The following is a 20,279-nucleotide window of genomic DNA, read 5'->3' as shown; positions in this document are numbered from 1 at the left end:
GTACTTTACAGCAATGGCTATATTGTTTAATATGAGTGGTGAGAGTTGACATCACTGTGTTTGTTGGGTATGGAGAACCAGTCAGCCAAGAAAATACCTGTTAAGTACAATACTTTACATAGTTAAGAATACAAAGTATTGTTTTCATTTATTTAGCATCTTTTTGGTATGTTTGTCATTGAGGGAGTGGTAAGTGGGTATGAGAGTTAGTATAGAGGATTAAATGTGTAGGAAGTTATGACTGTTTTTATCCACTCATATATATATATGGGAGAGAAAAGGCTATATTTTATTATAGAGTAATGCATTTCTTATTTTCCATTGTTTGTTTTGCATAGAAAATTTCTAAAACTTAAAATAATACTCTCCATAAACCAATATTCTTCTGCGCTTTTTTTTTTTTTAATTGAGACAGAGTCTGCTGTGTTGCCCAGGCTGGAGTGCAGTGGTATGATCACGGCTCCCTGCAGCCTTGAACTCCTAGGCTCAAGTGATCCTCCCACCTCAGCCTTCTGAGTGGCTGACTATAGGCACATGCCACCACATCCAGCATCCAGCTAACTTTTTTTTTTTTTGAGATGGAATTTCACTTTCGTCACCCAGGCTGGAGCGCAATGGCCGGATCATGGATCACTGCAACCTCCGCCTCCCAGGTTCAAGCGATTCTCCTGCCTCAGCCTCCCAAGTAGCTGGGATTACAGGTGCCCACCACCATGCCCAGCTAATTTTTGTATTTTAGTAGAGACAGAGTTTCACTATGTTGCCCAGGCTGGTCTCAAACCCCTGACCTCAGGCAATCCACCACCCGCCTCAGCCCCCCAAAGTACTGGGATTACAGGTGTGAGCCACCACGCCTGGCCTAATGTTGTTGGTTGTTTTGTTTTGTTTTGGTAGAGACAAGGTCTCACTATTTCCCCAGGCTAGTCTCAAACTCCTGGCCTCAGCCTCCCGAATAGCTGGGGTTACAGGCATATGCCACCACGCCCAGCTAATTTTTTTGTATTTTTAGTAAAAAAGGGGTTTCACTGTGTTGGCCACGCTGGTCTCCAACCCCTGACCTCTGGTGATCCACCCCCGTCGGCCTCCCAACGTGCTGGGAACCAGTGCGCCTGGCCTAAAATCTTAAAAATAATAAAAGAAATGTTTAAATCCTATTGTGACGTTAATTGAAATCTGACCAGAGCCAAATAACAACAAAGTAATAATACTAATAACTAGCAACCCTCGTGAGTACTTATGTAGCAGGTTTTGGAGTTCCAGCCTAGTTTTGCCAAAACTCCTTATTTAATCCTAGGCCCCTGTCTCAGCCTCCCGAGTAGCTGGGACTACAGGTGCACACAACCACACCTGGCTAATTTTTGTATTTTTCAGTAGAGACAGGGTTTCACCACGTTTGACAGGCTGGTCTTGAACTCCTGACCTCAGGTGATCCACCAACCTCAGCCTCCCAAAGTGCTGGGATTACAGGCCTGGGGCATCATGCCCAGCCCAATTTTTTTTTTTTTTTTTTTTGAGACAAGGTCTTGCTCTGTCACTCAGGCTGGAAGGCAGTGGTGTGATCATAGCTCACCATAGCCAGGACCTCTTGGGCTCAAGCAATCCTTCCACCTCAGCCTCCCGAGTAGCTGGGACCACAGGCATGCGCCACAATGCCTGGCTAATTTTTTAATCTTTTGTAGAGACAGGGTCTCACTATGTTGCCCAGGTTGGTCTCAGACTCCTGGGCTCAAGCAATTCTCCTGCCTTTGCAGTGAGATAATTTAGGAATCAGAGAGACTGAGGGGTTGAGGAGGATTTCTTATTATTATTTAGGTGCACCGGCCCAGTCAGATCAACATCCAAAATGACTGAGCCCCAAACAAAGAGTCCAGTTACCTTTTAAGCATTTCTGGGGCAGGAAGAGATCTGTGCAGGGGGAAGCATACAACAGAAGCGAGAAACAAAGACACTTATTCAGTAGAGACATGCATTACATCATTTCTTACTTTTCAAGGAACGGCATATTTTACGACTTGAGATTATCTGTCTAGTGACCTTGCAGCTGCACAGCTAGAGAAACAGAGTCTTCACAATGCCTGGCAAAGGGAGAGATAAGGCTCCCTAGCCACAGAAAAACAGGCAGTTAATTTTAAAGGACTCCAGCTCTTTCTCTTCCTCAAGGGGAATTGGGTTTTCTTACGTAAGAAACTGAGCTTTTGCTTACAAAAAGAGCTCCAAAGGGAAAGAGCTGCTTACAGTGGCCTCAAATCATTGGCTGAATACAGAGCTGCACAGGCTGAGGGAAAGACTCCACAAAGCTGAGGAGAAAACAGCTACTGAGAAAAGAACGACTGCCGGCTGAGCAGCTGAGGGATGAACATTTTTTTTTTTTTTGAGACAGAGTCTCACTCTGTCACCCAGGCTGAGGTGCAGCCACGTGATCTCAGCTCACTGCAACCACTGCCTCCCAGGTTCAAGCGATTCTCCTGCCTCAGCTTCCCAAGTAGCTGGGACTACAGGTGCCCACCAACACAGCCAGCTAATTTTTAGTATTTTGAGATCACGCCACTGCACTCGAACCTGGGTGACAGAGTGAGACTCCATCTCAAAAAAAAGTAAATACATAAAAATAAAGCTGAAGATGTCCTCATTACCAAGGTACCAAGGTACCAAGGTAAGGTCCCAGAATCCTCCAATAGCCATGTTACATCTTCCTCCACAGCCTAGAATCTCCATGTTCATCCCAAACTTCCTCCCTCAGGACCTCCCAACAATACACATTTCCAAAGCCTCCTACAATAGAGGCCACCAAACTCCCATGTACACCAGATACCCATGTCCTGACCTCAAAACCCTTTCCTAATGAACTCAAATGGCCATGTTCCCCTACACAGTCTCCCTCAAGACAGAATTAGTGTGCAGGTGTCAGCCCCTTGTGATAGACAAGCAGAGGAAGAGCAGCAGTGGATCTAAGAACAGGTGAATGTCCACCACATGTCCTAATTGTGTGGGCTTGGCCTCCAGGATATCATCTTCTTCCTGCACCCTTGACTTTCAAGGAAGGAACAAATATGGAGAATAAAGGGGGGAGCCATAAGGAGGACGAGGAAGATCTTAGGGACCTAGAAATAAAAACAGCACCTTCAAGGCGTTGAGCTTCCCTGTGCCTGATGCTGTGCTAAGGATAACTTTTCATGGAGTGTGCAATGCAGTCTTCACAAATCTGTGATAAAGGTTCTATGATCATCCACATTTTACATGTGAGCAAACAGAGTCAGAATCATTAAGATTCAACCACTGAAAGTACCTAGCACAGATGTAGTAGTCAGATCTGTTTGACTCTAGAGGCTATGCTTTTTTTTTTTTTTTTTGAGACAGTCTCACTCTGTCACCCAGGCTGGAATGCAGTGGCACAATCTCGGCTCACTGAAACCTCTGCCTCCCGGGTTCAAGTGACTCTCCTGCCTCAACCTCCCGAGTAGCTAGGATTATAGGCACCTACCACCACACCTGGCTAACTTTTGTATTTTTTAGTAGAGATGGGGGTTTCACCATGTTGACCAAGCTGGTCTTGAACTTGTGACCTCAAGCGATCCACCCTCCTTGGCCTCCCAGTGTGCTGGGATTACAGGCGTGAGCCACCACACCCAGCTGAGGCTATGCTCTTAACTACATTTACTCCCCTTCCTGCCCTTTCCCCTCAATCTGCAGACAGGGTACTAAGACCAACTGGGAAAAAATTCAAACTCCAGGGCACTGCCTGTTTCATAATAAACCACAGATCTCAAGTTTCAAACATTTTCCAATATGTGTTGGCAGCTTAGATGTCATTTGTTGACTCTTCTACCAAGGACGGGTGGGGGAAGGTAATAAGAAGCCCTAAAGCTGTGTCTGGTTTTGTAACAAGCACGTGAGTCCATAAAACCAAATGCCTGCATGAGATGTAATTGTCCACGTGCTCTCCCCCTTGGAAAGAGGCTGAAACCTTTGACTCAGTGATTCCTCAACATAAGGAATTTAGCAGATGTTAAAACCACAGTCTCTAATTCAAAATTTGAGCTATTAGGATCACTGGGTGTGAAATCATGGCCTCCAATTTTGTTGGTTGTTTGGGGTGGGTTTTTTTGTCTTTTTGAGACAGTGTCTTGCTCTGTCACCCAGGCTGGAATGCAGTGTCACAATCATAATTCACTGCAGCCTTAACCCCCTGGCTCAGGCAATCCTCCCACCTCAGCCTCCCAAGCAGCTGGGACCACAGGTGCATTCTCCCACACCCTAGTAGTAGAACTTTTTTTAATGTTTTTGTATAGATGGTGTCTCGCTATAGGGCCCAGGCTAGTATCCACTACCACCTCAGCCTCCCAGAGCAATCCTTACTCTCAGTTACGGTTTGTGGAACTATAAATTGGTACAGCTTCAGAGGAGAGTAATGTGAATGCTTTTCTCTAAATTACAAAAGAACATACTCTCAGATTCAGTTAACTCCACTTCTAGTAATGTCTCCTATGATGTACAAGAAAGTGTGCAAAATCACCTAGATTCATCAAAGAACTGTTTACATAATGAAAAATAGGAAACCAACATATGCACCAAGATATTGGTTAAACAAATTATGATGCATTCATTTGATAGACTTGGTCCATCAGAACCCCAGCAGAAAAATATGAGTGCTTAATGGAGGGACTTTTTTTTTTGAGTCGGAGTCTCGCTGTTTCGCCCAGGCTGGAGTGCAATTGCGCGATCTCAGCTCACTGCAAGCTTCGCCTCCCGGGTTCAGGCCATTCTCCTGCCTCAGCCTCCCGAGTAGCTGGAACTACAGGCACCCGCCACCACGCCCGGCTAATTTTTTGTGTTTTTAGTAGAGACAGGGTTTCACCATGTTAGCCAGGAAGGTCTCGATCTCCTGACCTCGTCATCCGCCCGCCTCGGCCTCCAAAAGTGCTGGGATTACAGGTGTGAGCCGCCGCGCCTGGCCAATGGAGGGACTTTTTACAAAGTGGAGGGCAGTGTGAAAGAACCCTACAAGACGTTGAAGCACTCTATGGCTTACAATAAGGAGACGCCATCATCATCCTTAGGTTGAAAGGTGCAGTGAGAGGGAGTAGTTTCCGAAACCGAGACTGATTGTATAGGGGTAAAAGAGAGCCCCCAGCAGGAGGGCATGGTTTCTGGCAGAGGAATACAACCATTGCTATCACACAGCCAAGCAAAATAATCTGACATTGCTCTTCTCTCAAACTTCCATTGGCCAAACCCAAAAATTTTTTTAATGTAGAGGTGAAGGGAGCATGGGTGGTACAGTTTATAGAGGCCACCCTTCTAAAAGACAGGTCATGGTGGAGAGTGGAGATGGTAGGGCAAATAGAATACCCAGCACAATGGCCAGGAGCTCACACCTCTAATCCCAACACTTTGGGAGGCTGAGGTGGGCAGATCATGAGACCAGGAATTCAAGACCAGCTTGGCCAACATGGCAAGACCCTGTCTCTACTAAAAATACAAAAAATAGCCAGGTGTGGTGGCACACACCTGTAATCTCAGCTACTCAGGAGGCTGAGGCCCAAGAATCACTTGAGCCCGGGAGGCAGAGGTCGCAGTGAGCCAAGATTGCCCTACTGCACTGCAGCCTGAAAGACAGAGTGAGACGGTCTTAAAAGAAAAAGAAAAAAAATTCCAACCCAACCTGACAGATACAGTGGATATAGTAAGTTACTATTTGTATATTTGTGTATGGAATAACCTGGAAACTGGTAACATTAGTATCAACTTGGCAAGGGAAACTGGGTTGAAGAAATTTCACTTTCCATCATTTTGTATCTTTTGAATTTTGGATAGTGTCAACATATTATCTGATCAAGGAGAAAAGAAATTTAAAAATCAGGTGTAAAGGGAGTGTACCTCTGCTTCCAAATTTAAGCCAAGAGCCACTGTGAAAAGTAGTTTGGTGATTTCTAAAAAAACTTAAAATAGAACTACCATCCGACCCAGCAATCTCATTATTGAGTATATACACAAAGGAATATCAATCGTTCTACCATGAAGACACGTGCACACCTTTGTTCACAGCAGCACTGTTCACAATAGCAAAGATGTGGAATCAACCTAAATGCCCATCAGTGGTAGACTGGATAAAGAAAATGTGGGCTGGGCGTGGTGACTCACGCCTGTAATCCCAGCACTTTGGGAGGCCAAGGTGGGTGGATTACGTGAGGTCGGTAGTTCGAGACCAAGCCTGTCCAACATGGTGAAACCCCGTCTCTACTAAAAATACAAAAAAATTAGCCAGGCATAGTAGCGGGCACCTGTATTCCCAGCTACTTGGGAGGCTCAGGCAGGAGAAGTCACTTGAACCCAGGAGGCAGAAGTTGCAGTGAGATGAGATCACACCACTGCATTCCAGCCTGGGCAACAGAGCAAGACTCTGTCTGAAAGAAAGAAAGAGAGAGAGAGAGAAGGAATGAAGGAAGGAAGGAAGGAAGGAGAAAGACAGAAAATGTGGTATATATACACCATGGAATACTACACAGCCATAAAAAGGAACAAGATAATGTCTTTTGCAGCAACATAGATGGAGCTGGAAGCCACTATCCTAAGTGAACTAATGCAGGGACAGAAAACCAGACACCACAGGTTCTCACTTATAGGTGGGAGCTGAACATTGACTACACATTGACACAAAAAAGGGAACAACAAACAGCAGGGCCTACTTGAGGGTAAGATGGGAGGAGGGTGAGGACCGAAAAACTACCTGTCGGGTGCTATGCTTATTACCTGGGTGATGAAATAATGTGTACACCAAACCCTCACCATTGCTGAAGAGACTGGCGGCTAAATAGAGCAGTGGGTGAAATGGTCCCTGAGTGACATGTTAGGTCTTTGTACATAATTTAAAATAATGTGGCAATATTAATTTTAAAAAAAGAGGAGTGCAGGAAGAGCCAGAGAGAGACAATGTGAGGATGGAAGCAGAGACTGGAGTGATGTGCTTTGAAGATGGATGAAGGGGCTTCGCACAAAGGAATAAAGGGGCGACCAGAAGCTGAAAAGGCGAGGAAATGGATCCTCTTATCAAGGCTCCAGGAGGTACCAGCCCTGCTGACACCTTGACTTTATCCCAGTGAAGCTGATTTTGGAATTCTGGGCCCCAGAAGTAAAATAATAGTTTGGGGTCTGTTTGTTTACTTGTTTGATTGTTTGTTTGTTTGTTTGAAATGAAGCTTCACTCTTGTTGCCCAGGCTGGAGTGCAGTGGTATGGTCTTGGCTCACTGCAGCCTTGACCTCCTGAGCTCAACTGATTCTCCCGCCTTAGCTTCTCAAGTAGCTGGGATTACAGGCATGTGCCACCACATTCAACTCATTCTTTTAACTTTTTATAGAGAGGGAGTCTTGCTATGTTGCCCAGGCTAGTCTCAAACTCCTGTGCTCAAGCAATCCTCCTTCCTCAACCTCCCAATATATTCTGGGATTACAGGTGTGACCCACCACACCCAGCCTACATTATCTTTTCTTACTCAGTCCCTCCTGCCTCCCTCTAAAAAGGATCCCTGTGATTACATTAGGCCCAGCCAGACAGTCTAGAGTAAACTTCTCATCTCAAAATCCTCAACTTAATCCCACCTGCAAGGTCCTTTTTACCATGTAAGGTAACAAATTCACAGGTTGTAAGGATAAGGACCTGGACATCTTTTGGGGGGCATTACAACCTGCCACAACACCATGATCTGTAACAGCCTTGCAATGGGTCAGGCCCTTCACTGACTCCCAGTCACACACTCACTGACTCCTTATAGTAGCCCCAGGATGAGAGGAGTGCCATCAGGCCCATTTTACAGATGAGAAGACTGAGGCTCGGAAAAAGGAAGTCAGTTTGCCCAAGTCACACCAAGGCTAAGAGACCAACGAGGATTCAAACCGCGTCCATCTAACTCCAGATCTGGTTTTTTGGGCTGTGCTATTGTGTCCTGGGTGCTGTGTTGAAATATGCTGTTTTGGCCGGGCATGGTGGCTCACGCCTGTAATCCTAGCACTTTGGGAGGCCAAGGTGGTGGATCACTTGAGCTCAGGAATTCGAAACCGGCCTGGGCGACATGGTGAAACCCTGTATCTACAAAAAATACAAAAACTAGACCAGGCGCGGTGGCTCATGCCTATAATCTTAGCACTTTGGGAAGCCAAGGTGGGCACATCACTTGAGGTCAGGAGTTCGAGACCAGTCTGGACAACATGGTGAATCCCCATCTCTACTAAAAATACAAAAAAATTAGCCGGGTGTGATCTCAGCTCATTGGGAGGCTGAGGCAGGAGAATCTCTTGAACCTGGGAGGCAGACGTTGCAGTGAACTGAGATCGTGCCACCGCACTCCAGCATGGGCGACGGAGCGAGATTTCATCTCGAAAAAAGGAAAGAAAGAAATGTGTTGTTCAGTATTTACTATGGTCTGTTCAGCTGTTGGACGGCCAGATGCTACGTGTTGTGTTGAGATATTTCTGGGTGAGATTGTAGAGTTGTCAGGCACTGCATGTGATTTTGCATTGTGTCATCTGCTGGCTGCCAACGTTGTTGCGTTGCTGCATAGTGTGTCCTTTGTTCTGCTGCCTTGACTGTATGTGTTGTGATGCCACATCGTGTGTTCTGTGCTGTCTGCTGGGTTGCTGTGTACTAGCGTGTGTTGTGTGGCAGGATTATGTAGCGGTATGCTGGCATTACGTGTTGGTGTGTGGTTACCGTGTCTTGGGATGTTTCCGGGCTGGCTATTAGGTCACTGCGTGTCGTGTGTTGGCATGTACTGTGATCGTATTTGCTGGGTGTTCTGTTGCCCTGTGTTGTTGTGTTCCGTGATGCCTGATGATTGCCTTGTGCTATGTCGCGTGCTGTGTGTGTGTTGCCAACCTGTTCTGTGGTTGGGCGTTGTTGCTGTCGATGTGCTGCAGGAAGCTGTGGGTTCGGTGCTGTCTGTGGCATTGACAGATGCTTTTGGGGTGTTGTTAAGCAGCATGTTGTGACCATGTGCCCGTGTTTGCACCGTAAGACACGTTGCCATGGTTGAGTCGGATGTTGTGCAAATTAATGGTGTTGCTGCATGAGGTCTGGTGTGCTGCACATCGCGTCTTCCTGACCCATTCCATTCTTCACCCTCAGGCGAGCCCTTTGACCCCACGTTTGTGCTGAGTCGCTCACGGTCCAACATTATCTGTTCCGTGCTCTTCGGCAGCCGCTTCGACTATGATGATGAGCGTCTGCTCACCATTATCCGCCTTATCAATGACAACTTTCAAATCATGAGCAGCCCCTGGGGCGAGGTCAGCCAACTGAGTCCAGCAGGGGCAGGGTGTGGGGTCCGCAGGATCTAGGAATGGAGAGGAAACAGTGGGCGGGGAAAGGGCTGTGAATGGCCCGCCCAGGGCCCGCCCCCTCCCATCTGACCCCACCCAGAGTTACACGGCCACGCCCACTCCCCTCCACTGAGCATTTATGGCCGCCACTGCCTCCTTCCCACTCCCCCTCAGCCCCAACCCCCACCCCGGACCTGGCTGCCCTTTGAGACCCTGTCCCTGCCTACCTAATCCACACTGACCCCATTCGCCCCTGAACACCCTTCGTCCTCCTCCAAAACCCTCCTACTCTGTCTGGTCCCCAGTTGTACGACATCTTCCCGAGCCTCCTGAACTGGGTGCCTGGGCCGCACCAACGCATCTTCCAGAACTTCAAGTGCCTGAGAGACCTCATCGCCCACAGCGTCCACGACCACCAGGCCTCGCTAGACCCCAGATCTCCCCGGGACTTCATCCACTGCTTCCTCACCAAGATGGCAGAGGTAATCCCTACCTGGAAATCCCACCTCTAGTCTGACCTGAAATTCTCCTGCTGCCCCTGCCTCAAACCCACAGGGACCCCAGATGGGGCAGGGTTGGGGGACCTTCTCCCTGGAGAAGCTGAAGCATCTGGCCCAGCTGGGCTGGAGCCAGGAGCCACTCGCAGCCACCGCCAACTTACAGCTCATTAAGAAGTCATCAAAGGAGGTGGGGCAGGGCGGAGGGGGCAGTTGCTCAGGCTTGTTATCCCAGCACTTTGGGAGGCCGAGGCAGGAGGATCGCTTGAGTCCAGGAGTTCGAGACCAGCCTGGACAATATAGTAAGACCCAGTCTCTACAACACATACATACACACATACATACACACACACATACATACATACATACACACATACACACATACATACATCATACATACATACACACATACACACATACATGCACACATACATACACACACATACACATACATACACACATACACACATGCATACATACACACATACATACATACACACATACAGACATACATACACACATACATACATACACACATACACACACATACATACATACATACACACATACATACATACATACATACATAAAATGTATTTTTTAAAAAAACAAGAAGTCATTCAAGCTCTATCCAAGAAGTTAATTGTAGGCCCTGCAGCTGAGATTTTCCCTGCCCTGCCCTTCTGCGTTCCCCAGCTCTCCCAGGGAAAGAAAGTTAAACCCAGCTGGGACTGAATGGGCCCCCAGCAGCAGTTGTACTGGTCTAGAGTGAAGGGGTCTCCATCCCTGGCTCATATCCCCACCCCTCTACCACGGCAGAAGAAGGAGGACCCGCTGAGCCACTTCCACATGGATACCCTGCTGATGACCACACATAACCTGCTCTTTGGCGGCACCGAGACGGTGGGCACCACGCTGCGCCACGCCTTCCTGGCATTCATGAAGTACCCGAAAGTTCAAGGTGAGGCCCACCCACACAGCAGCGTGGAGGTGCCCATGTGTTCCAGCCTCACCCCAGAGCAGGGAACCACGACCCCACCTCCAGTCCCGCCTCCCAGGTCTGATATAGCCTCCTGCTGGCACCAGGATTCCACAGCCAAACCCACAAACCCACACGGAGGCCAATCCCACCACGTGGCCCACGAGGTCCACGCAGCCTGCCTGAATCCCGACCCAGATCCCACCCGCTTAATTGTTGGTTTTTTTGTTTTTGTTTTGTTTTTTGGAGACAGAGTCTCGCTCTGTCACCCAGGCTGGAGTGCAGTGGCATGATCTCGGTTGGCTCACTGCAACTTCTGCCCCCTGAGTCCAAGGCATTTCTCCTGCCTCAGCCTCCCAAGTAGCTGGGATTACAGGTGCACACCACCACATCCAGCTAATTTTTGTATTTTTAGTAGAGACAGGGTTTCACCAAGTTGGCCAGGCTGGTCTCAAACTCCTGGCCTCAAGTGATCCACCCACCTCGGCCTCCCAAAGTGCTGGGATTACAGGCGTGAGCCACTGCACCCAGCTCTGCTTAGTTTTTTGTTTGTTTTTGAGACAGAGTCACTCTGTCGCCCAGGCGTACAGTGGCACAATCACAGCTCACTGCAGCCCCGACCTCGGGCTCAAGCGATCTTCCCACCTCCGCCTTATCAATAGCTGAGAGTACAGACGTGCACCACCACACTCAATACACTCAGCTAATTTTTTATTTTTTGTACAGACAGAGCCTTGCTGTGTTGCCCTGGCTGGTCTCCAACTCCTGGGCTCAAGCAATCCTCTCACCTCGGCCTCCCAAAGTGCTGGGGTTACAGGTGTGAGCCACCGCTCCCGCCTCCACCTGCTTAGTCTTGCTTTGTGCCCACCGTGTCCACCACTGCATGCTGGCTTCAGAGCCCAGCTAACAGTCCTCCCAGAACTCTGCCCCAGAGCCCCAGCCACCCACTTGCCAGGGAACCCTACCTTTCCCACACAGCCTGGCCCACACACGGAGCTCTGTCTGCTACTCCACCTCCCCAAGCTCCACCTCTGGGTATAACCCCTGCTCTGCCTCTGATCTCCAGCCCTCCCACACAGTCCACCCACTCGATCCACCGTCCAGCAAGTAGGGTCCCGAAACTGCTCCTGAAATCCCATCAGGTCCTGGATTCCAGGCCTCCCTCCCTGAAGCCCCACCCACACAACCCAACGCCCAGGCCCTTGCACAAGCCAACCTTTCGCCCTCACTGACCCACTTCCTCCCAGGCCCTGGCTAACTCTTTTTTTTTTTTCCTTTTTTTTTTTTTTGAGATGGAGTCTCGCTCTGTCACCCAGGCTGGAGTGCAGTGGCCCAATCCCGGCTCACTGCAACCACCGCCTCCCAGGTTCAAGCAATTCTCCTGCCTCAGCCTCCTGAGTAGCTGGGACCATAGGTGTGCGCCACCATGCCCAGCTAATTTTTCTATTTTGTTTTAGAGATGGAGTTTCACCATGTTGCCCAGGCTGGTCTCTGAAGGGGGCCAGCCCCTTCACACCTGTGGGTATTTCTCATCAGGTGGGACAAGAGACTGAGAAAAGAAATAAGGCACAGAGACAAAGTATAGAGAAAGAACAGCGGGCCCAGGGGACCAGTGCTCAGCATACGGAGGAACTGCACTAGCCCCAGTCTCTGAGTTCCCTCAGTATTTATTGATTACTATTTTCACTATCTCGGCTAGGGGAATGCGGCAGGAGAACAGGGTGATAGTGGGGAGAAGGTCAGCAGGAAAACATGTGAGCAAAGGAATCCAGGTTACAAATAAGTCCAAGGGAAGGTACTGTGCCCAGATGTGTAGGTAGGCCAGATTTATGCTTCTCTCCACCCAAATATCTCAGTGTAGCAAAGAGTAACAGAGCAGCATTGCCACCAGCATAGCTCACCTCCAGCCACAGGGTGGTTTTCTCCTATCTCAGAACAGAAGGAATGTATGATCGGGTTTTACACTGAGACATTCCATTACCAGGGACATGCAAGGGATGGAGGCCTTCCTCTTATCTCAACCGCAAGAGGCCTTCCTCTTTTACTAATCCTCCTCAGCACAGGCCATTTACTGGTGTCAGGCTGGGGGATGGTCAGGTCTTTCCCTTCCCACAAGGCCATATCTCAGGCTGTCTCAGTTGGAGGAAACCTTGGACAATACCCAGGCTTTCTTGGGCAGAGGTCCCTGCAGCTTTCCGCAGTACACTGTGCCCAAGAATGGAGAATGGCGATGACATTTACCAAGCATACTGCCTGTAAACATATTGTTAACAAGGCACAACCTGCACAGCCCTAGATCCCTTAAACCTTGATTCCATACAGCACGTGTTTCTGAGCACAGGGTTGGGGCTAAAGTTACAGATTAACAGCATCTCAAGGCAAAGTAATTTTCTTAGTACAGATCAAAATGGAGTTTCGTATGTCTTCCTTTTCTACATAGACACAGTAACAGTCTGATCTCTCTTTCTTTTCCCTACAGTCTCAAACTCCCGGGCTCAAGTGATCCATCCACCTCAGCCTCCCAAGTGCTGGGATTATAGGCATGAGCCACCGCGCCCGGCCAGCTCTAGCTAATTCTCACATACGCCCCAGCAGTGGCGCCCAGCGCTGGGAGGCTTTGACTAGACCCCTCCCCACATACGGACACACCTCTTCCCAGCCTGGTTTGATACCCTCCACCCCACTTCCCCCTTCCCCTCCAGCCCACGTGCAGGAGGAGATCAACCTTGTGGTGGGACACGTGCGGCTGCCAGCGCTGAAGGACCGCGCGGCCATGCCTTACACAGACATGGTGATCCACGAGGTGCAGCGCTTTGCAGACATCATCCCCATGAACTTGCCGCACCGCATCACTAGGGACACGGCCTTTCACGGCTTCCTGATACCCAAGGTGCGCTAGGCCTGGCAAACGACATCAGGCAACCTAAGAGGAGGCATCCCAGGCTCTTGCAGCTCGCAAGCAGTATCCCAGGCACTAGCAATCAACACCCCAGGCCTTAGCAACTGGCATCCCAAGCCCTAGCTACAGACATCTCAGACCCTTAAATCCAGAAGCTCAGGCCTTTGCCAGGACCCCATCTCATATCATACTGGACTAGACCCCTTCACCGTGACAAATCCCCTTCCTAGAACCCCTCCCTGGAAGCCCTGGGGTGTGGAACTTCATCTGGAGGATCCCTGGGCCTAAACGCTATTCTCAGGGACCCCTCCTTTTCCCCAGAAACCCCACATCTGCTCCCACAAAGGGTGGGGGTTTCCCACATCCCTGCCAAAGTCCCCAATAATACAGCATATAGCACCCATCACTTGGAACCCTAGACACCCACACATATTTCCTTGGCCCCCGATTGAGTCCTATACCCACCTATACCCACCCCTTATCAAGTCCCCAGGACACCCAGCCCAATACAATGGAAAGGAGTTTGGGAGCCTCCCAGCCCTCCTACACTGCTAAGTCCACCTCCTCACCCACACAGGGCACCGATGTCATCACCCTCCTTAACACCGTCCACTACGACCCCAGCCAGTTCCTGACGCCCCAGGAGTTCAACCCCGAGCATTTTTTGGATGCCAATCAGTCCTTCAAGAAGAGTCCAGCCTTCATGCCCTTCTCAGCTGGTGAGGGCAGGAATCAGAGTCTTTCTGGCCCAATTTCTACCTACATTCCTCATCCTAATTCCACTTGCCAAATCCGCTCACTCCTTCCTTCCACCCATTCTCAGCTTTGGATGCACAGAGACATTCATTCCTCCTCTCAACTCTGCTCCTATAGGCAAGTAGTGACTAAAATCCTCGTGAAGCAAGGTGGGGAGGTTGATTAATAATTTAACTTGGGACTGGGCATGGTGACTCACACCTGTAATCCCAGCACTTTGGGAGGCTGAGGTGGGTGGATCGCCTGAGGTCAGGAGTTCGAGACCAGCCTGACCAATATGGTGAAACCCTGTCTCTGCTTAAAATACAAAAATTAGCCGGGTGTGGTGGTGGGCGCCCATAGTCCCAGCTACTCCTGAGGAGAAACAGGAAAATCACTTGAACCCGGGAGCCGGAGGTTGCGGCGAGCCGAGATTGCACCATTGTACTCCAGCCTCGGCAACAAAGCGAGACTCTGTCTCAAAAAAAATAATGATAATAATTTAACAGCCAGGGGCAGTTACTCACACCTGTAATCCCAGCACTTTGGGAGATCTAGGCGGGCAGGTCACCTGAGGTCAGGAGTCCAAGATTAGCCTGACCAACATGGTGAAACCCTGTCTCTACTAAAAATACAAAACTAGCCAGGAATGCACGCCTGTAATACCAGCACTTTGGGAGGCCAAGGCGGGCAGATCAGAAGGTCAGGAGATCGAGACCATCCTAGCTAACACGATGAAACACCATCTCTACTAAAAATACAAAAAAATTAGCCGGGGATGGTGGTGGGCTCCTGTAGTCCCAGCTACTCGGGAGGCTGAGGCAGGAGAATGGCGTGAACCTGGGAGGCGGGCCTTGCAGTGAGCAGAGACCGCACCACTGCACTCCAGCCTGGGCGACAGAGTGAGACTCCATCTCAAAAAAAAAAAAAAAAGAAAAAAAATTAGGCAGGAAATGGTGGCACATGCCTGTAATCCCAGCTCCTCTGGAGGCTGAGGCAGGAGAATCACTTGAATCCAGGAGATGGAGCTTGCAGTGGGCCGAGATCGCGCCATTGCACTCCAGCCTGGGCAACAAGAGCAAAACTCCGTCTCAAAAAAATAAATAAATAATAATTATAATAATTATTATTTAACTTGGGCCAGGTTCATCGGCTCATGCCTGTAATCCCAGCACTTTGGGAGGCTGAGGTGGGAGGATCGCTTGAGGCCAGGAGTTCAAGACCAGCCTGGACAACATGGCAAGACCCTTTCTCTACTGAAAATTTTTAAATTACCTAGATGTGGTGTGGTGTGCATCTGCGGTCCCAGCTACTTGGGAGGCTGAGGTGGGATGATCACTTGAGCTCAGGAGTTTGAGGTTACAGTGAGTATGATCATGCCACTGCACCCCAGTCTGGGCGACAGAGCGAGATCCTTTCTCTAAAATAAAAAATACTGACTAGCCAAAAATAAAAAATATATAAAATGTTTAAAAGAAAAAATAATAATTGAACTTGGGAGTGGTCATTGTCTACCTCTCCACTGGGTGGCGCAGTTGAGGTGGTTCTAGGGTTTTTGTTTTGTTTTGTTTTTTGGCTTTCCTCTTTACCCTGCTGAAAAATACTTCCCTCTTTACTCAGTAGCAGGAAAAGAAAAAACAACTGGCATAATAATAGGTAACTTACCATATTGCCTACTGTGCGTCAAGTGCTGCCTCTACAAGAGCCCAGCTAAGAGCTTATGTTTTCCGCTGGGAATGTGCAGCCCAGATTCCAGCAGGGTTTGCATCCCATCTGTCACCCCCTAGCTGTGTTGCCTTGGGTATGTTACTTCACTTCTCTGTACCTCAATGTCCACATCTATAAAATGGAGATAATACTAAGGCCTGCCTCTTGGAGTTGTTAGAATTAATTGTGATGTAATGCTTAGAGTAGGGCATGGCCCATGGTGAGCTACTTACAGCCTCACTGCTTTCCCTGTGTTTACCATTCACAGCAGCCTCATGAGGCACTATTACTATCCCTCCTTTTATTTTTCTTTCTGAGACAGGGTCTTGCTCTCACCCAGGCTGGAGGGCAGTGGCACGATCATGGCTCACTGCAGCCTTGATCTCCTGGGCTCAAGTGATCCCCTCGCCTCAGCCTCCCAAGCAGCTGGGACTGCAGGCATGTGCCACCTTGCACATTTTTTTTTAAATTTTTTATAGAGATGGGATCTTGCTGTGTTGCCCAGGCTGCTCTCAAACTCCTGGGCTCAAGAGATCCTCTTGCCTCGGCCTCCGAAAGTGCTGGGATTACAGGCCTAAGCCAGCGCGCCCAGTCTTCATATCCCCATTTTAAATACCCAGAAAGTGTGGTTTGTCCAGGATCACAAAACTAGTAGTGACAGCACCGGGATTCGAACCCAAGCAGCCCAGGTCATTCCGCTCCACAGTTTAAAGCATCTTTCCCACATCTTTACATGGGTGAATCTGTGACGTCCCCAGCTGCTGTCTTCCTTTCCTCTTATGTTTTCCTCTGGGAATGTGGGGTTGCAGCCTCTAACCTCATCTTATCTCACCACCGCTCCCCATCCTGCCACCCCTGCAGGGCACCGTCTGTGCCTGGGAGAGTCGCTGGCGCGCATGGAGCTCTTTCTGTACCTCACCGCCATCCTGCAGAGCTTTTCGCTGCAGCCGCTGGGTGCGCCCGAGGACATCGACCTGACCCCGCTCAGCTCAGGTCTTGGCAATTTGCCGCGGCCTTTCCAGCTGTGCCTGCACCCGCGCTAACGCCCCGGCCCTTCCAGATTCGCCTGTGAGCGATGAGGCCCACCCATGTGGGTTGCTACGTCCCCTTCTTGGTCCACGGTCTGCCTCCATCCCTCTGGCAGTCACGCTGTCTTCCCTGCATGCTGTGCCTGCCGCGTGCCCTTCCCCCATCCCTCCAATCTGTACCCCGTCTGCAGGGCAGAGGCAGATGTGGCATGTCTTTTTGTACCCACAGAGCTTGTTCTATGGCACGCCCTTTTCTGGGCTTTTTGTATCATTTCTTAGTACATTGTAATAGATTCAAACCAGTCTTGGCTGAATTAAAGTGAGAATGAGAGTCATTTAGGATGGGGAGAAGGGAGCTGGCTGCAGAGATGGAGACACTGGCTAGTTTTGCCCTCACCTTTAGGGTGGCTAGGGTGGGACAAATTGTATCCTGGAGACAGGCTTGAAGGTAAAGGCTGCGAGGACCTGAAGCCAGTGAGGCAGAGAAACCAAGACAGAGAAAAAGATAGCAGGACCAGGCGAAGTGGCTCACACCTGTAATCCCAGCACTTTGGGAGGCCGAGGCGGGAGGATCGCTTGAACCCAGGAGTTTGAGACCAGCCTGGACAACAGAGTGAGGCCTGACTCTACAAAAAAGTCAAAAAGTGGGGCAGGAGGATTTCTTGAGTCTGGGAGGTCGAGGCTGCAATGGACTATCATTGTGCCACTGCATTCCCGCCTGGGAGACAGGAGTGAGACCCCCCCCAAAAAAAAAAAAAGTAAGAAAGAAAAAGAAGAAGACAGCAGAGAGATATCAAGAAGAAGATGACAGCAGAGAGATATCAGAGAGAATATGCAAGAGATGCAGGGCACTGCAGAGAGATGGGGAAAGCAGGGCAAAGTGAGGCTAAGATGGAACAAGCACTGACACTAAATGACACTCCCTATTTGCACACTGTTCTGAATGCCTCATTTAAGTCTCCCTACTTTGCTCTGGTTTGTTTTGGGGGCTTTTGTTTCTTTTTTCTTTCCTTTTTTTTTTTTTTTTTGAGACAGAGTCTCGCTCTGTCACCCAGGCTGGAGTGCAGTGGTGCGATCTTGGCTCACTGCAACCTCCGCCTCCCTGGTTCACGTGATTCTCCTGCCTCAGCCTCCTGAGTAGCTGGGACTACAGGCGTGCGCCACCACGCCCGGCTAATTTTTTGTATTTTTAGTAGAAACAAGAGTTTCACCCTGTTAGCCAGGATGGTCTCAATCTCCTGACCTTGTGATCCGCCCACCTCAGCCTCCCAAAGTGCTGGAATTAGAGGCGTGAGCCACCGGCAACCGCACCTACCCTGTTTATTTCTTTTATAGCCAGGGTCTCCCTCTTGTTGCCCAGGCTGGAGTGCAATGGCACAATTCAAGGCTCACTGCAACCTTGAACTTCTGGGTTCAACTGATCCTCCTGCTTCTGCTTCAGATCACCAAATAGCTGGGACTACAGTCACCGTGCCTGGCTAACTTTTTTTTTTTTAATCTTTAGTAGAGACAGGGTCTTGCAATGTTGCCTAGGCTGGTCTTGAACTCCTGACCTAAAGCGATCCTCCCACCTCATCCCCCCAAAGCACTGGGATTACAGGCATGAGCCACCACACCTGGCCACAAAGCAGTATTACCACATTTTTACAGATGAGCAAACTGAGGCTCAGAGAGGTGAAGTGAGTTGCCCAAGATCACACAGAAACAGGCAGAGCTGGTATCTAAATTCAGACTCTGAGGCTACAGACACTGCACTTCTTTTTCTTCTTCTTCCTCTTCTTTTTTTTTTTTCCTTTTTTTAGAGACAAGCTCTCACTCTGTCTCTCAGGCTGGGATGCAATGGCATAATCACATCTCACTGCAGTTTCAGCCTCCCAGGCTCAAGCGATCCTCCCACCTTAGCCTCCTGAGTAGCTGGGACTACAGGGTGCACCACAACCACACCTGGCTAATTTACTTTTATTTTTATTTTTTGAGACAGAGTCTTGCTCTGTCACCCAGGCTGGAGTGCAGTGGCTCGATCTCAGCTCACTGCAACCTCCACCTCCTGGGTTCAAGCAATTTTCGTGCCTCAGCCTCCCGAGCAGCTGGGATTACAGGCGCCCGCTACCACACCCAGCTAATTTTTTTTTTTTTTTTTTTTTTAGTAGAGACAGGGTTTCACCATGTTGGCCAGGCTGGTCTTGAACTCTTGGCCTCAGGTGATCTGCCTACCTCAGCTTCCCAAAGTGCTGGGATTACAGGCATAAGCCACTGCACTCAGCCACTAATTTTTTTATTTTTATTTTTTGTAGAGGCAGTCTCACTATATTGCCCAGGCTGGTCTCGAACTCCTGACCTCAAGTGATCCTCCAGCCTCAGCCTCCCAAAGTTCTGGACAACCTGTGCACACTACCATGCCCTACTCAGACACTGCACTTCTAACTACTACCTTTTAATTCACAAGTCAGAGACCAAGAAAGAGGCAGACACCCTTAAATACAGAGAAAAGCAGAGAAATACCGACACTAAGAAATGGGAGGCAGGGGAATTGAGAGAGAAAATGGAAAGAAACAGAGAAATGACCAGAGAAAGACAGATGAGCAATGACAATGGGAGTTCTGAGGACTGAGGCTCTCTCCCTCAATCCCGAGCCCCTCTTTTCTTTTTCTTTCTTTTTTTTTCTTTTTTTTTTTGGAGGGTTGGGGGGACAGAGTCTCACTCTGTTGCCCAGGCTGGAGTGCAGTGGCATGATCTCAGCTCACTGCAACCTCCACCTTCAGCGCTCAAGTGATTCTCGTGCCTCAGCCTCCCTAGAGTAGCTGGGATTACAGGCATGCACCACCATGCCCGGCTAATTTTTGTATTTTTAGTAGAGATGGGGTTTCACCATGTTGGCCAGGCTTGTCTTGAACTACTGGCCTCAAGTGATCTGCCCACCTCAGCCTCCCAAAGTGCTGGGATTACAGGCATGAACCACTGCACTCGGCCCTCCCACCCTCTCACTGAAATTCTCTGAAATTCTCCCCTTTGGGATGAGGATGGCAACCCCAGGCATGTACCCTCCCAACCTGGGACCCGACCTAATACCCTAACATCCTGCTGACAGTGGCTGTTCTCGCTGGGCAGGCGTCCCAAAGCA

General features: G+C 49.3%; 1 pseudogene, besides 3 other annotated features; it reads left to right on the top strand.

The window, feature by feature from the left end:
* Positions 8,508 to 9,007: an enhancer, noted in NCBI's record as "H3K4me1 hESC enhancer chr19:41332789-41333288 (GRCh37/hg19 assembly coordinates)". NCBI's record gives its function as "activates a minimal SCP1, AML or CMV promoter by ChIP-STARR-seq in primed H9 embryonic stem cells {active_cell/tissue: H9 hESC(primed)}" and the evidence as "EXISTENCE:reporter gene assay evidence [ECO:0000049][PMID:30033119]".
* Positions 9,008 to 9,509: an enhancer, noted in NCBI's record as "H3K4me1 hESC enhancer chr19:41332287-41332788 (GRCh37/hg19 assembly coordinates)". NCBI's record gives its function as "activates a minimal SCP1, AML or CMV promoter by ChIP-STARR-seq in primed H9 embryonic stem cells {active_cell/tissue: H9 hESC(primed)}" and the evidence as "EXISTENCE:reporter gene assay evidence [ECO:0000049][PMID:30033119]".
* Positions 9,118 to 17,414, top strand: CYP2F2P (cytochrome P450 family 2 subfamily F member 2, pseudogene; annotated as a pseudogene).
* Positions 17,168 to 17,377: an enhancer, noted in NCBI's record as "active region_14669". NCBI's record gives its function as "activates an Ori minimal core promoter by ATAC-STARR-seq in GM12878 lymphoblastoid cells {active_cell/tissue: GM12878}" and the evidence as "EXISTENCE:reporter gene assay evidence [ECO:0000049][PMID:35858748]".

This window comes from Homo sapiens, chromosome 19 (genome assembly GCF_000001405.40).
Source record: "Homo sapiens chromosome 19, GRCh38.p14 Primary Assembly".
NCBI classification, from domain to species: domain Eukaryota; kingdom Metazoa; phylum Chordata; class Mammalia; order Primates; family Hominidae; genus Homo; species Homo sapiens.
Note: the sequence above shows the minus strand (reverse complement) of the source record. Positions and strands in the feature narration are given on the sequence as shown.